This window comes from Homo sapiens, chromosome 4, assembly GCF_000001405.40.
Source record: "Homo sapiens chromosome 4, GRCh38.p14 Primary Assembly".
Classification (NCBI taxonomy): domain Eukaryota; kingdom Metazoa; phylum Chordata; class Mammalia; order Primates; family Hominidae; genus Homo; species Homo sapiens.
The window spans coordinates 106,032,011-106,047,820 of NC_000004.12; the positions used below are offsets into that span (position 1 = coordinate 106,032,011).

The 15,810-nt window shown below is 37.6% G+C and overlaps 1 protein-coding gene across 11 annotated transcripts in view, besides 1 other annotated feature; it reads right to left on the minus strand.

The window, feature by feature from the left end:
- Positions 822–1,116: an enhancer, noted in NCBI's record as "tiled region #11278; HepG2 Activating DNase matched - State 10:DNaseD". NCBI's record gives its function as "activates a minimal TATA promoter and a strong SV40 promoter by Sharpr-MPRA in HepG2 cells {active_cell/tissue: HepG2}" and the evidence as "EXISTENCE:reporter gene assay evidence [ECO:0000049][PMID:27701403]".
- The window catches only part of TBCK (TBC1 domain containing kinase), a 275,085-nt gene continuing 268,863 nt past the window's right edge, over positions 9,589–15,810 (minus strand). For all 11 annotated transcript variants that reach the window (NM_001163436.4, NM_033115.5, NM_001163437.3 and 8 more), the window contains one exon: positions 9,589–14,670. In NM_001163436.4, coding sequence (NP_001156908.2) covers positions 14,560–14,670 — 111 coding nt within the window. In that variant the 3' untranslated portion in view covers positions 9,589–14,559. The remainder of the gene's footprint in view (positions 14,671–15,810) is intronic.

The window sequence follows — 15,810 nt, forward strand, 5'->3', positions numbered from 1 at the left end:
TGCTACCCATTTCACTGAAGAATTTTCTTTCATATAGCCTGTGTTTTTGATTTCTTTCAGTTGGACTTCACCTTTCTCTGGTGGCTCCTTGATTAGCTTAATAATCGACCTTCTGAATATTTTTTCTGGCAATTCAGATATTTCCTCTTGGTTTGGATCCATTGCTGTTGAGCTGGTGTGATCTTTTGAGGGTGTTAAAGAAACTTGTTTTGTCATATTACCAGAATTGTTTTTCTGGTTCCTTCTCATCTGGGTAGACTATGTCAGAGGGAAAATCTGGGATTCAAGCGCTGCTGTTCAGATTCTTTTGTTCCACAAGGTGCTCTCTTGATGTGGTGTTTTCCCCCTTCCCCTAAAAATGGGGCTTCCTGAGAGCCGAACTGTAGTGATTGTTTTGCTCTTATGTCTAGCCACCCAGTGGAGCTACCAGACACTGGGCTGGTTTTGAAGAGTGTCTGCAAAGAGTCCTGTGATGTGATCCGTCTTCAGGTCTTGCAGCTGTAGATACCAGCACCTGCTCTGGTGGAGGTCTTAGGGGAGTGAAGTGGATTCTGTGAGGTTCCTTAGTTGTGTTTTTGTTTAGTGCACTGGTTTTGTGTTGGTTGGCCTCCAGTCAGGAGTTGGCACTTTCAAGAGCACATCAGCTGCAGTCCTATGGGGAGGATGCAAGCTTGCTCTAGAGATACCTGGTTAAATATTCAGGTTTCTCAGACATTGGGCAGGGCCATAGAACTCTCAACAGATTATGACTTTTGTTTTTTGGATACTAGGGTGGGTAGAGAAAGACCACCAGGTGGAGGCAGGGATTGGCGTGTCTGAGCTCCAACTCTCCTTGGGCAGAACTTGCTGCAGCTGCTGTGGTGGATAGGGATGTGGTTCCCAGGCCAATGGAATTATACTCCCAGGGGGATTATGGCTGCCTCTGCTGAGTCATACAGGTCACCAGGGAAGTGGGAAAGCCAGCAGTCCCAGGCCTCACCCCTCTCCCATGCAGCCCACAGTCCTAAAGTCCAGACTCACTCCCACAGTACCCCTGGCAACAGCACTGAGTCTATTTCCAGGCAGCTGGTGACCAGGGCTGAGAATTTGCCCAGACCATGAGCCTCCTCATTGAAAACGCAAGATGACTCACAGTTTTTGGGCATTTCAGGGAGCCTGCAGTAGTGATCCAGTTCCTTCAAAAGACTGGTGAATTTTCTTAGCTTTTCCTGGTATGTTCTGTAGTACTTCCTGGAGCAAAAGTTCAAGATGTGAGTCTCCACATGCTGCTCTGTCCATCTGAGCTGGAGCTGCAAGCTAGTTCTGCCTCTTACCCACCATCTTAATCCAATTCCTACTCCATATTAGGTTTCAGCAAAAGGGTCTCGCCAACCACCCCCAGCAAACCCAGGCATGCTTTCTGCATTCTTGCTGCACTTTGACTCACCTTCTGTGCCTGTTCTTGAGTTCCTCAAAGACATTGCTGGCATCTTCTCCATTTTCCTTGCATTTCCTAGCCCATCCCTGGCATGTAGATACCATGAATAAAGGAATTTACCTCTATTAGCCAAGAAATGCATCTCACTTGCCAATTTCACCATGCTTGCATTTCAATGGCAGAGAATTTAGAAGCACTTCAGCATAGGAAGGCAGTGTCTTGTTAAAAATATTAGCTACACCTTGTACTGAGTCATTCCTCTGTGCCAGGCATTCTGCTAAGTGCTTTACAAATATTATCATGTTTATCTTCATTATAACTATGTAAAGCAGACATAATTATTAAACCCAGTTTACAGATATGGAAACTGAGGCTCAGCAAGGTTAAATTAAATGCTCCAGGTCACACAACCAGGAAGGGAAAAGCCAAAGTTCCCATCTAATTACAGCACACTCTCTTCTACTGCACATGGAATTAGAACAACCTATTGGGGCAAAATATGCAGTCTCTCCTCTTCCAATCATAACAAATGGATTTAAATATATCAAAAAGTATTCTTAGGGAAGCAATGTTCCTATATGATCAAAAAGTTGTCGGTGCTTTTTCTTAAAAAGTGAATATGGTAAGGAAACACAATTAACCTGCTGAATTTGAACTCCAATTTTATTTAGACTGAGTGTAATAAGAGGCATGCTTAAGGTAGTTTTAAAAATTTAAAGTCCCAATAAAAATCTTATTCTGAGAAATTGTTTTTTTGTTGTTGTTGTTTATTCAATTAGGTTACTTCTAGAACAGAAACAGTGCTATGCGGTTGTGAAGTAAAAAATCTCTTCTTTTTTACTTGAGCCCATGAATTCTTAGTTAAAATACCTAACTTATTGCTCATATCAATAATTAAGCAGCAGAGGAAAGATTTATCATGGTACTTTTGTGCTCAGCGATGCCAGAATTATGTACTAATCCTTGTGTCAAGATAAAATTCCCTGCTGAGATGCCCAGGAAGACATGCCGTCACCACCTGCAACAGCATTAACTCACTGTGCTTTTAGGAAATTGATACATGTTAAGGACAAAAGTCATTTTTAGACAGAGCAAGAGTACATTTGGCAACAGGCAGAAGCTAAAAGGGAATTTTAACTTGTGGCTCCATACAACTGACTCAAATAGGATATTTGAACATAAAGAAGTCAGGACTAGTTGGCAGCTTATCACGACAGAATTGCATAGCTCCTCACAGTTGTAAACTATTTTTGTAAAAGTTCAGTGGAGTAGCAGCAGCAGCAGCAGCTGGTTACTGCAGTGTCTTTCTTCCATCAGGCAAATAACTGATGGCTCTCAGGATACCTGGCAAATAACCCTGGCAGAAAGGTGCCATTTCCCCCAAATTCAGCAAAGAATTGTACTAAATTCTACAGTGCCCAGCTCATTGCCATTAGCACTCCCAGCCCTCATTTTTGCATTAGCTTTTGAAAGGAAAGGCCCTCTTTCCTTCCTGTCTGGTTCTTCCTCATGATTACTGCAATCCTTAGCACTTTTTGTGGTTTGACTGGTTAATTCCCATGTAATGGGTGGAAAAAGCCCTGAAGCATGGAAAAGTTACAGGATTAACTGTGTTTGTAGGGTGAACCAATACTAAGGTGAAAATCTCCTTTAGTAGGTTAATAATAAAAAGCATAAAAATAGCTACCTCCATTTTTATGTGGTCTAGTTGCTACATACTGTTGCCTTATAACCATTTTCTTCTTTATTCCTCATACCAAGTCTGCAAAGCAGGCTTTAATTGAGCTCATTTAACAGATTAAAAAGACAAAACAAAACAAAAACTGAGGCTGAAGGAGACAGCAACTTGCCCAAGGTCACATATTCAGTAAGTGGCAGAGTGTCTGAGTCCAAAGCATAAAAGTTCCCTATCTTGTGAAGTGATATTCCATTAAGGACAGCCTTGGTTCACAAGGCGGTCCCAGGTTTAGCTTTGGCTAAGCACACAGTACATTGGTAGCCTGTGTCACACAGTTACATTATTGTTCTCTTTTCTAATCCCCTGTATGTGCCAACCCTTATAACAGGGACAATGTGCTATTTCTTTAAGCATCCATTGCATATCCTAGGGTGCAGACATGTATCTGGTACTTAATCATTGTTGATTGATGCTTTTTATATTGGAAACAGTGTTTCTCTTCCTTCAATAAATAAACACTCATTAAAGCCCACTTTTGTGCTGACAGTGTAGTACTTTCTATGCGAAATAGTAAAATGAAGATTCTACCCATCTTGCCCTCAAAGAAATCTAGAAAATGGGGAGCATCATGTATGTAGGGAAGAGGAACCTTGCTCACACTTTTCCTCTTCCCCTTCCTTGCATCTCCCCACAAAAAGAGGCAGTTATAATCTGATTGGTCTGGTTCCAGAACACTTTTTTGGCCACACTTACTGATGGGCGGTGTTACTATTTAACTTTTAAGAGTTTCTGTCTTTCCTCCCTTCCAGTGCATGTGGTACAATTTGTAAATTGAACTAAGGTCTCTTTAGTTACCTGGCCATCTTTTTATGATGTTTTTATCTTTTTATCCACATACTTAAAGCTTACTGGGCTTTTTAGTTCTCATACTATGTGATAAACTAGAAAATGAGATCCAAGATTTAGATTCTGGCTTGATGCAGACACAATGCTATGGAGGCCTTGAGCATAAGCTGTGGGTTTTAATCCAGGGTTATGAAAGCTCTAAATTGGGGAGAAGTGGTCACTAGCCCAGCCATAAGTTGGTACTTTGTTTTCCACTTGCTGTTATCCCTGATGTGTAAATTTCACTTGGGAACTTGGTGGAGAAGATGACTGGCAAGGATTTTTAGGTCCCTGCCCTTAATGCCATAAAATACCACTAAAACTCTACTACCTGACCTAACCCAGTAGCTACATCACAGAGACAGGACAAAGTGTTATCATCAAGGCTCAATCCACATGCTATAGGACTCCAGGAAAGCTCACTATCAACTTGAGGGCATTGGGCGAATGTATGTACTTTTTAGGTTTCTTTTCTCAATACTGGTTCAAACAATGGACTTGTTATGTAAAGAACACTGAGGGCTAAGCAATTCATGTAATAGGCTTGAGTGACAGCTTGTCATCAGCATTCGAAAAGAGACTGATAGACAATTTGGCTAACAAGGCCAACAACTCTGGTATCTGCAGTGGGAAGACTTATCTATGTAAAATTCAACATCCACGGCTCTCATTTATTAATGTCCTATTAGTCATAGTCCTTAAGGCCTATTAAATTCAAATAACTTCTTGGGTACCTGTTAGAGAATGTGATAAACTACGTAGTTTTGTACCCTGTAACAAGTCCAGACATATAATAGCTTTTTAAAAACTTAGGGTCACATTCAATAACACTTTAAACTTATACTCCAAACACCAGTACTTCACTACTACACTGATTCTTATTACTATATTTGTGTTTTAATGTGATCCTACCCCTTTAAAATGAATCCCACTCTCTCTTTATAATGATTTCTGTGTGTGTAATCAATTTGCTTCTCCCCTCTGTGAGGAGAAATGGCTGTGGATCTCGCACAGATGCTACCAAGTAGAATGACCTTCAGCAGGCAGAGATAAACAAGAGCTGCTTTTCATCTCCCAACCATTGATTTTCTGCAAGTCAACCACAAAACTGCTTTGAAGTCCAGGAGAGAGGTGCAAGGGAAGAGGGAGATAAAACCGAAGGGAAGGGTGGATTTGAAACAAAGTTAATCTCTGCCATCTAGGTGTAGATAGTTATTGGCAAAACTGAACCTGCCAGGTTGCATTGAGAGAATTTAGATTATTGTAAAAAGTGTGTTTTAAATTGGTAAAACTGGGTTTGGAAAGGGTGGCATATAAAACAAAGAGAAGTCTGAAAGGATCTTGCATAAAATTTATAAACTTAGCAGAAATAATTGCTTTAAATAGAATTAAACAGTATCAGGTGTGCAGTGTATAATCTTAATACTGCTTGTGAAGTCTTCCATTTTGTTTATGTTGCATAATAGGAAAGGTATATGGATTGTAAGAGTAATTATTTGTTGTGTCAATATTCTCTAAAAACTACACAATAGATCAAGAGTTTGGCTTGATAGTTTTCCAGAACAGTTATGACTTTTATAAAAATTATACACATATTTGAATAATACTTTTCCATTGACAAAATACTTTTCTATGAGCTTCAACATAAACCTAGGAGACAGGCTAGATAAATGCTATTACCTCTTTTATATATGAGGAACCAGAGCCTGAGCGAACCCATGTGAACTGCCCAGAGAGACACTGAAAAAAACAGTGGAGGGGCCAGTACTAGAGAATCCAAGTTCTCTGATAATTGATCTCCTTTTCTTCCTGTAGGCTCCCTGTAATTTGAGGTTTAAGCGAGAGGAAAACTTGAACCCTCCCTTCCCCCTCTTCTTCCTGAAACGTGTTGTTTTTGTCAGGGTGGTCTTTTTCAATGTACTCTTAACATGATAGTGTTGGGATCTTAGAACATATTTCTTATTCTTAAGATGTCTGGAGGTTAAATGCTGACACTGAAAATCTGGAGACCCTGCTTTGAAGACAGTCATTACTTTGACCACTGTGGAGGTTTGAGCTTCCTGAATAGTGCTGCATAAAGTAGGATTTACCACAATTCTGGGGGGCTTAAGGAAACTTAGTGTTGTGAAATGAAAGATCCTCGAGAAAGTTTAACCATGAACACTAAACAAATGCCAGCCAACCTGAAACCTCAGCTCACAGTTCTTCCTCATTCCAGCCTTCCAGGATCTGGGTAAACAAAAAAATACGTGTGCCATTTGAGGGGAAAGCTGTCATGGAGGAGCTGAGGTTTCACCTGCCCTTGAAATGGCTGAAGCACTCATGTGCTCTCAAGGAGCAATACAATTATCATGACCTGGACCAACAAGTATCTGGTAGAGGTATATGTGTGGGATGACAACCTTTGGAGTTGTCAGTAGGTCCCTTTCACAATTTTCTGTTTTCATTTGGTTATTTTTATACAACTAATTTGTATCAGATATTTAATTTAGTATTTTGTTCAGATCCTAAAAATCATCATTTAGTTTTAGCTGGTAAGTAATAAAGTACACATCCAATAATACACTCACATAAAATTTCAGTCAGGCTTTATAATAAATGCCTAACAGCTTTTTAAAAGTGGTTCAGTTAACGTCCTGGGCAGGACAAGCTAATTAAAAGGGTTAAGTAATTGCAACAATTAATTTCCTTATTAATTAATTTTTTTTGCAATAACAGAATTTTGCTGACAATAATTAACTTTAATATTAATTTTGATATTACTTCACTTAATCAAACAGGGCAATTTAAAATTCATTTCAGAATGACATAGAGTTAGTGATTTACAGGGCAATTAATATAGTCAGCCTCTGCCTGAGCTATTATCATTTTATGGGATGGTTTCTTTACAAATATGTAACATCTTGCTTTATGTAAGTTATATAAGTTACCACTGAAATTTTAAATAGTTATATTGCTGCATAGGGTTCATGTTAAAATAACATGTCACTTAAATGAGTGTTAAGATTTAATCTATTAAAATCACCTCCTTTTTATTATTTCATTCACTTTAACGTACATACACATGTGACTTACAAGTAAACATATTTTGGGATATGGGCTTAAATGCCTCATCAGCACATTTCGTGTCCAGTGTGTTTTATAAAATATTAGTAAAGCATCAGTCATGATAGAGGCTTCAATCTATTTTCATTTTTTTAAATAATTATGAATATCTGTAGGTATGTTTACTTTTGAAATATGAACTAGTCTAGTCCTCTATTACCTGGGATGCTGTTAGACTTAATCTGTTTGGATTCATGTTAGTTAATTTTTTAAAAAGGGGGGATATTTTAAAGTTTCTTCATTATCAGGAAAACACTCTTCTCATGCTTCTTTTTAGGTACCAAATCATGGCAGAAATCAAAATGACTATCTGACAGTTGTTAATACGAAAAAAATCCTGTTACAAACTAAACATAGATAAACCATTATTTAGGAGGATTGTATAGTCATTGAGTTGTCGTAGCCCAAAGTAGGGTTAAAAACTTTTTAATACCTATTACCTCTATCAGAGTAATTTGAGAAACAACTCAAACTAACCTCCTACCTCTGAGTCATTATTTGTGATATATATATTTTTTGCTACAGAGGTAAATGGATAAATCCCTGGAAATGGCTTCTGCCTGTTTATGCCAGTTGCTCAGGGTAGGTCTTCATCAGAAGGCATCTCAGGAAGGCCTCTCCAGAGCACAGTCATACTAGGACAGTGTGGGATGGGAGCAGATCCCGAGATCTTTGAAAATTAGGAAACAAGCTCAGAGTAGGGAGTTAAAATGGTCACACTAGGCATTACATTTAGACAGATGTTTTATCCTGTCATCTTATACTGCCACATGTAATTAATGACAATATAATATGTCCAGAGATTTAAAAAAATCCTCATTTATGTAAATCCTGCTTATTCAACAATAATATGATTCCCTTCTTGGTTGCACATCACTTTGCAAACTACCGTCTCTGCCATCTGGCCTCAATCCAATAGCTCTATTTCTCACATGCCTTTCAAATCCTTAATGACCTTATATGGAGTCTGTGGCTATGAACGCATGGTATATGGAATTATTAATGATCTTAAAGATAATTTTAGAAAATATACGCTATCTGGCAAATAATAAATTATCAGGATAGTTTACCTCAAAGCATAAAACTATATTTTAAAGTTAGCAAGTGACTTAAATGACCTCTATTTCTTCTGTGATTAATAGATTCAGAAACTAGCTATCCCCCACTCCCCCACCTTGACTTTCCACACATGACTGGGAAACTGATAGGAGGACTTTTCTTATTCTTCAAGCCTGGTCCCTGGCTAAGACATAGAAAACAAAGGTTAAAAGCCAACTTTGATCCTGTATATCAAGGATTGTACTGTAGACAGAGACAATGTGTTTCTCTACCAGAGATGTTTTTCTGAGGAAGGTTGCCTTGAAGGTGAAAGGTAACTTAAAACATAGCAAAAGTTCCTGAAAATAGTGATTCTTCCCTCAGAGTAGAATGCTCAAATGCAGTCTTTTTTTGAAAGTGTGGAGGATGAGGAGGTGAGAGTGCCATCCTCTAAGGGCTGATATTAAGTGGCATTTCCAAGTAATAGAGTCAGTAGTCAGTTTAATCGACACTTTCACTGCTTCATTTTTGTACCCCACACATTATATAATACAGCGACTGACTCAAAGTTGGTCTGCAATAAATATGTAATGAATTGAAACTGGTGCCCTTTACTTTCTTTATCTGTATATGATGAGCAGAAAAATAGGCAAAGAATCAGAAAAGCAGAATTGCAATTTTGAATCTGCCTTTTACTAGCTATGTGATCTTTGCAAAATCTTTTCACTTTTCTTATTGTTTTGAACAATGACATTTGGATTGAATAATCTTTAACATTCCTTTTACTTTCACAATCTACAGAAAATATAATGACCCTAGGATGATTGAATCAATGATGCACTAGTAAATGTTATTGACTGGCTCTCAAAAATAAATAAAAAGTTTTAAAAAGAGCCTGATTTGGAATACTTGCCTATTTCTATGGTGCAAATACCCCTGATGTGGCTGATTATAAGCTACTAACCTGAGATCACTGACCACGGAGTTGAGAAGAGATGAGAACATTCAGCTCTTTCAAGCTATGAGGAGCCAGTTCCAGAGCAATACAGGACTTAGAATAATAAATCATTCTACTCTATAGGACTGAAAATATGCTAATACAACTGAGAAAAAATTAATAACAGAATAAGAATGGGTTTCCAGGTTAATGAGAAAATTAAGTCTCCTTTGCAAGGATTATCTTAGGTTTTAATGCTAGTGATCACACTAGTATAGTCTTTTAAAAAATGGTAGGCCATGTACTGTTTCTTAAGTCACATCTATATATAATGAGAGTAAAAGTTGAATCTTTTAGCGTGGCAGGAAGCAATATTTAGAATCTGATCTAATGCTTTAAATGCATTTGTTATAGCTCCAAGATTAGTCATAGGCCAAGACAGAACAGTGTTTTAACCCCCACCACCCAGGGGATTAATATCTAGAAATGTTGGCAATGTAGTGCTTTGGTACCAATTAGAACAGAACAGTATTTAGAACTGTTTATTAGAACAGATCAGTATTATTAGAATAGAACAGTATTATTGAAATGCTGCAGACAATGCAAACTAATAATAGGTCCTCTGAAAGGAATGAGAAAGGATATTAAAGAATAACAACTTAAAAGGAGACATTAGGCCTGAAAGTCACCGTAGAAGCTATACAGATCACAATCTATCTATAGAACACTGAATATGCCAAGATCCAAGTTTAGTTTTCATGTTACAAGCACCTATCATAAGGCATTAACAGGAAAATTACTCAGAAAAGATATAAATACATGTGACTTTATAAAATATGGCTAACTTTTAAAATAGGTATTTACAATGTGTACTGTTTCTAATATTGTATGAGATAAAACTGGATTACAAAACCTAAAGGTTGTGTGTGAGCAATTACATACCCTGTTAAATGTCAAGTGTCAGTTAAAGTTTGAAACTCTTCACCATTAGTTTTCCACATAAAATTGAAGTTGGTAGCTGTGAAGAGGGTTTGGTCTTGACATTGAACATCCAAACTAAAATTGATCATAAATATTACCATTTTGCTTCCAATCTGATTTAATCAACATTTATCAAGAAAAATGCATTATTTGGTTAATAACAGCTATATTTTGGGTCAGCATGTATAACAATGGGATTACTAGTTACAACTGATAGAATGAAATATCTGCCAACCCTTTCTATATAGTCAAGGCAGCAGTCTTCTCTCCTTGTAGTGGATTTTATTAAATAAGACTACTGCATAAGATTTTTTTTTTTCTTTTTTGAGACGGAGTCTCACTCTGTCTCCCAGGCTGGAGTGCAGTGGAGCGATCTCGGCTCACTGCAAGCTCTGCCTCCTGGGTTCACGCCATTCTCCTGCCTCAGCCTCCCGAGTAGCTGGGACTACAGGCGCCCACCACCACGCCTGGCTAATTTTTTGTATTTTTAGTAGAGATGGGGTTTCACCGTGTTAGCCAGGATGGTCTCGATCTCCTGACCTTGTGATCTGCCTGCCTCGGCCTCCCAAAGTGAATAAGATTCTTTTGAGATGCTATAGAATCCTTTTGATACTAATTCCCAAAGGAATATTTTTTGGTAACTATTTGGAGGAGGAAAGCACAGGAATCCAACAAAAATCTGGCACCACTGTGTCCTCTAAAAGTTTTATATAATTCATTGTTTTCCTTTTAAAGTGCACTAAAGCCTGTTCTAAATCAGGAACTTACCCCAGACTTTCCACTGAACAACTCTGTCTGTAACAGATTTTTCTTCCTTCATCAAGAATAACCAGGCCAATGACAATCTCCTCTGTAGCTTCCCTAATTTGGCGGGAAGTTATGTCTTGTCATTTCATGGAGCGGAGTTCCTTGAGACGGTCACTTCATAAAGAGGTCTTAATTAGAACTCCCACCCATAAGATCCAAAGCTATGTCTTCTATTCCTATATGTATTCCAAAACCTGAGTTCTTGGGGCTTATATTGATACTGGGTATCCCACGGGCCTAAAAGCTGTGCCTTTCAGGTCCTTTTCATTTCTGACATCAAAAAACTTCTTTCTTTCAAACTTGGTTAAGCATTAGTTATTTTTAATATGCTTTTTGAATCTAACATTTCTGTATTTTGAAAAGAGGATGCAACTAGATTAAATTACCTTATTTTGGAAGTTATCTGCTCCAACTTCTAGAATTATCAGATTTTAGAGCTGGATGGGACTTTAGAGATCCTTTTTTCACTCCATGAATTGAGATTTCAATTTATTTCTATACTATCAGGTACCAGATAAGTTTGGCAGTTGAAAAAAATTACCACAGGTTATTTTTATTTTTCTCCCTTCAAATAGATTCTAAAATTGATAGATTCAATTTTATATTAATTGAGCATATCCAATGTGGTGGGTTGCTGAAGGTAGCAAGAGGTATAAATTATAGCTCCTGATCTTAAGCAGCTCATATTTTAATAGGGGACTAAATGTAAACAAACGATTGCAAAATGATGTAATAAATCTATTATTAGTAAATTATGAATGGAATGCTTTAGTAGATTTGGGGCTCTTAGTGCAGCATGGGGAAGCCAGAGAAGACTGGAGGAGGTACACTGTTGTTGCTAGATTATCAAGAGTTAATAAGTGTGTTTATGAATGTGAGTGTGTGTGTGTGTGTGTGTGTATGTATATCTGTGTGGGCTGGTGGTGGTACTTATGGCATTCCAGGTAAAGCCAGAAACAGTGCTGATAGTCATCGTGTAGGAATCAATAATACATTAAAAAGGAACTCAAATAAATCCTGGGTTATATACGTTTAATCTAACAAATAGTTGTTGAGGTCAACTGTTCGTATCATCCACCATGAAATAACATGCCCTGTGTATAAACATGGCAGTGATAGTGTGCTCTTACTTTACTGTTGAGAATATTAAATATTATAATTTTCATGTTTAAAAAACTTCAATTTCTTGGAATAAGCCTAAATGTGTCGTTTTAAGAAAGATCAAATGCAAAATCATGACAGAGGGTTGCTACTATTATCTTCTTACATAGCTCTCTTCACAAGGTCTTCATCCTCTCCTACTACCTACCACCTTATTCAACTCAAATCACTGCCCCTCCATCCCTCTCTTCTCTGCTTTCTCAGTAAGGCAGAGTTAAGACTCAGAATGATCATCAATGGTGCATTCTGATTATGAACTCAGGTAAGTCATCAAAGACTGAAGGAAGAAAATAGTAATTGCCAGGACAGGAGGATTTAATATTTCTCTGAAGAGGGTAGACAATGGCCCAAAAACAATGTTAGTGAAATCTTGGTATATATTTGTTCTCATTAATTCTCACATTTTTTTCCTTGTAAACTAGGTAAGGATCACAAATGATATAACTATGGATTATATTAGTGTCTTAGAAATACATAGTAGGTATTCAAAACATATTTGGTGAATGACCAAATAAATTGAATAAAACAAACAAAACAGGAGGGGTCCTGGGACAACTGGATACTCATATGCAAGAATGAACCTGGACCCCTCACTCCATATACAAAAATTTATCAAAGACCTTAGGAGGGGTTAATGTGGAATACCTGCTGATCAGGTAGACAATTGCATACAATGAAAGTATTCTGGATAATACTGATTGCACAACTTTGTGAATACACTAAAAACTACTGAACTGTACATGTTAAAAGGATGAATTTTATGGTTAAGTATATCTCAATTTAAAAAGTAGATGCAAAGAAAAAATAAAATAAAGTAAACAATAGCAGCAACAACAAAACCATGGCCCAGAAAGCTGAATTGAGGCTCTTATTGAAATGTTCTGCCTAGGCAGTCTTAACATTGGAGTGGAATGTAAGTTATAGATGAATGAACACTTTTTAGTTAAAACAAAATTGAAGATAATTAAAGGATATGCTATATTTCATATATATGAGGCATTTTTTTTTTCAGATTTCTGAAATGGGAATGTATCTTTCTTTTTTTTTTTTTTTTTGAGATGGCAGGGTGAGCCCTGTTGCCCAGGCTGGGGTACAGTGGCCCTATCATGGCTCATTGCAACCTCTGCCTCTCAGGTTCAAGTGATTCTCCTGCCTCAGCCTCCTGAGTAGCTGGGACCGCAGACGTGTGCCACTATGACCAGCTAATTTTTATATTTTTAGTAGAGACAAAGTTTCCCCATGTTGGCCAGGCTGGTCTCAAACTCCTGACCTCGGCCTCCCAGGGAATGTGTCTTTTAATTGACAAAGTGTCACAATTCATTTGGCTTCATTTTTTCTTTGTGGTACCTAAAATTGTGAGATGTCTTAGATTTAATGAAATATAATACTCATTTTAAAAACAATGTGGCAGAGGCAGAGGTTGTTAGCTGTACCTCAATATGTACTCTCTTCTTCCCACACAGTAATAAGAATGTTTTTAGCTGGGGAAATGATCAACCACCCAAAGACTCTATTTCCAGTTTTCCTTAAAGCTAGGTGTGGCCATGCACCCAAGTTCTGGCCAATGATATGTAAGCAGAGGTAGTGTGCGCAACTTCTGGTTTATGACCTTAAAGGGAAGGAGTGTGCTTCGCTTCTTTTCCTTTCTTTTCTTCTTTCCTCCCTCCTTCTTTTGTTCCTTCTTTTCTCTTCATCCCCTCCCTCCTTCCCTCATTCTCTTCCTTCTAGATAGCAGATGTGATGGTAGAAGCTGAGGAGCCATTTTCATCCATGAGATGGATGCCACATATTGAGGTTTGTAAAGCAATGAGAGAAGGTAATGAGTTCTTAATGATCAGGAAACCAGTAGACTAGCCCTGGACTGACTGTACAGACTTTCATGTGATAAAGAAACTAGAAAATTTGTTTAAGCCATTCGTCTTTGCTACAGGAACTGACCAAATATTCTATCAAATATAAATGGTTTCTAAATTTCATTTTTCTGGGAGTAAGTATTACCACTTTCTGCAATGGGATAAACTCCACTTCCTATACACACACACACACACACATCCCCCTTGTTTGGGTGAAATGAGTTACTAAATGTAGCATTTATTTATAAGGAATGCATTGTGAATAGTTTCTCAGTTTTCATTATGGAAAGATGATGATTTCAGCCCACATTCAGTGTATGTTTCTAAATAACACAATCGACAGGACTGTCTGTTCAGTACAATGGAGGACAGCTTTTTCAGGGCAAATGGGATTTCTTGATAATGCTAAATCTGTCTTGTCAGCTGAATTTCTTGGGCTTTATGTGGCAGTGTGGTAAAAATATATGATCAGATTTCACTGTTAAGAAAATTCTTTCAGCAATACATGTAGAGTCAAGTTTCTTGCATGGATAACTGAACATGTGGGTTATGAGATTTTAAAAAATGTCTCGTGACAAACTTTACGGAAATGCAACAATCTGGACATCTAGTTTTGTCTGAGAGTGGCGTGGATATGAAGAACTGTGCTGTTGGTGCTGATGCCACACTAAGTTTTGGCAGTCACACTCTTGGTTCTTCATATTTGAGGAGATGGGATGGTGAGGAGGCCTGTTGGCTTTATTTTATTAATGCCACCATCTAGAATACAGATTCTTGGATATTTCATCTTCACAAGGTGAGCTGCAAACTGGAAAAAAAAAGAGGCAAAATTTTTAGAGGATATACAGAAGACATCTCCAACCTCATGTTTTTTCTCAGAATTTGAAAGACAAAATTAATTTAATGTTATGATTGCTGCCACCACTGTATAATAAGTTGTCAACTTGGTTATTAATATAAATTAAATCACTCTTTTATATGCTGACGCTGACAATTTCTTTATCTTATGGAATAAATGTCTCTTCAGTTCTCTTTTATGATTTTTTTGAATATGTGATAAATATACATGGTAAACAATTCAAATTCAGTAGTAAAGGGTATACAATGAGAAGTAAACTCATTCCACTTCTGTTCCCAGTCCTCCCTCTCCAGAGGTCATTAATGTTACTATTTTTAGGTATTCTTCCAGTAATAGTCAAAACAAGCTCAAATGTACATTGAAAAAATTTTGATATTATGGTCCACTTCAATGTCCCACAGAGAGCCCATAAACCAGTTGTAACATGTTTTTGGAGCAATCACAACTAACATTTTGAGTCCACAAACCTGGAATGAATTTGAAGGACAGATCCAGGAAGACTTCTAGATGTCTAGCACAAGAGGACTTTGTAAAAGTTATCAAGACATATACACAGACGACTTAGCTAAAATCTACCTATCCAGGATCATCGATTGCCTTTCCTTATTCTTTGCACTTTATGATAAAGCATCCCTCAACTGCGTATCAATCCCAATATAGCATACTGCTTTATGCTCAGACCTTTTCTTGGGCAGATTGTCCAATGTTGGGCACATGCTCCATTTCCCACCAATTCCTGTCCCCTCTTTAGCGCCTCCTCAATAGTAACCCCCACACATAACCTCAAACCTGCCTAACTTCTATTCATTTTCCTGCTCAGGCACTTCCTTCTCTAGAAGCTAAGTTGCCATTAGGGTCCCTGCTTCTCAGCTCCCGAAGTTTCTTGTATGAATCTCAATCTTTGGCCTTACCTCATTTATTTAAATTATCCATTTAAGAGCTTCCTTCTATTTTGTTTTCTTCTTGGTAGCTGGCAGATGGTAGGGGCTCAATATATGTTTGCTGGATTGAACTAAACTATGCCAAATGACCATAAAACCTAGGGCAAAATTATGAAGTAAAGAAGTTTTTCTTTGGCCCTTTGCCTAT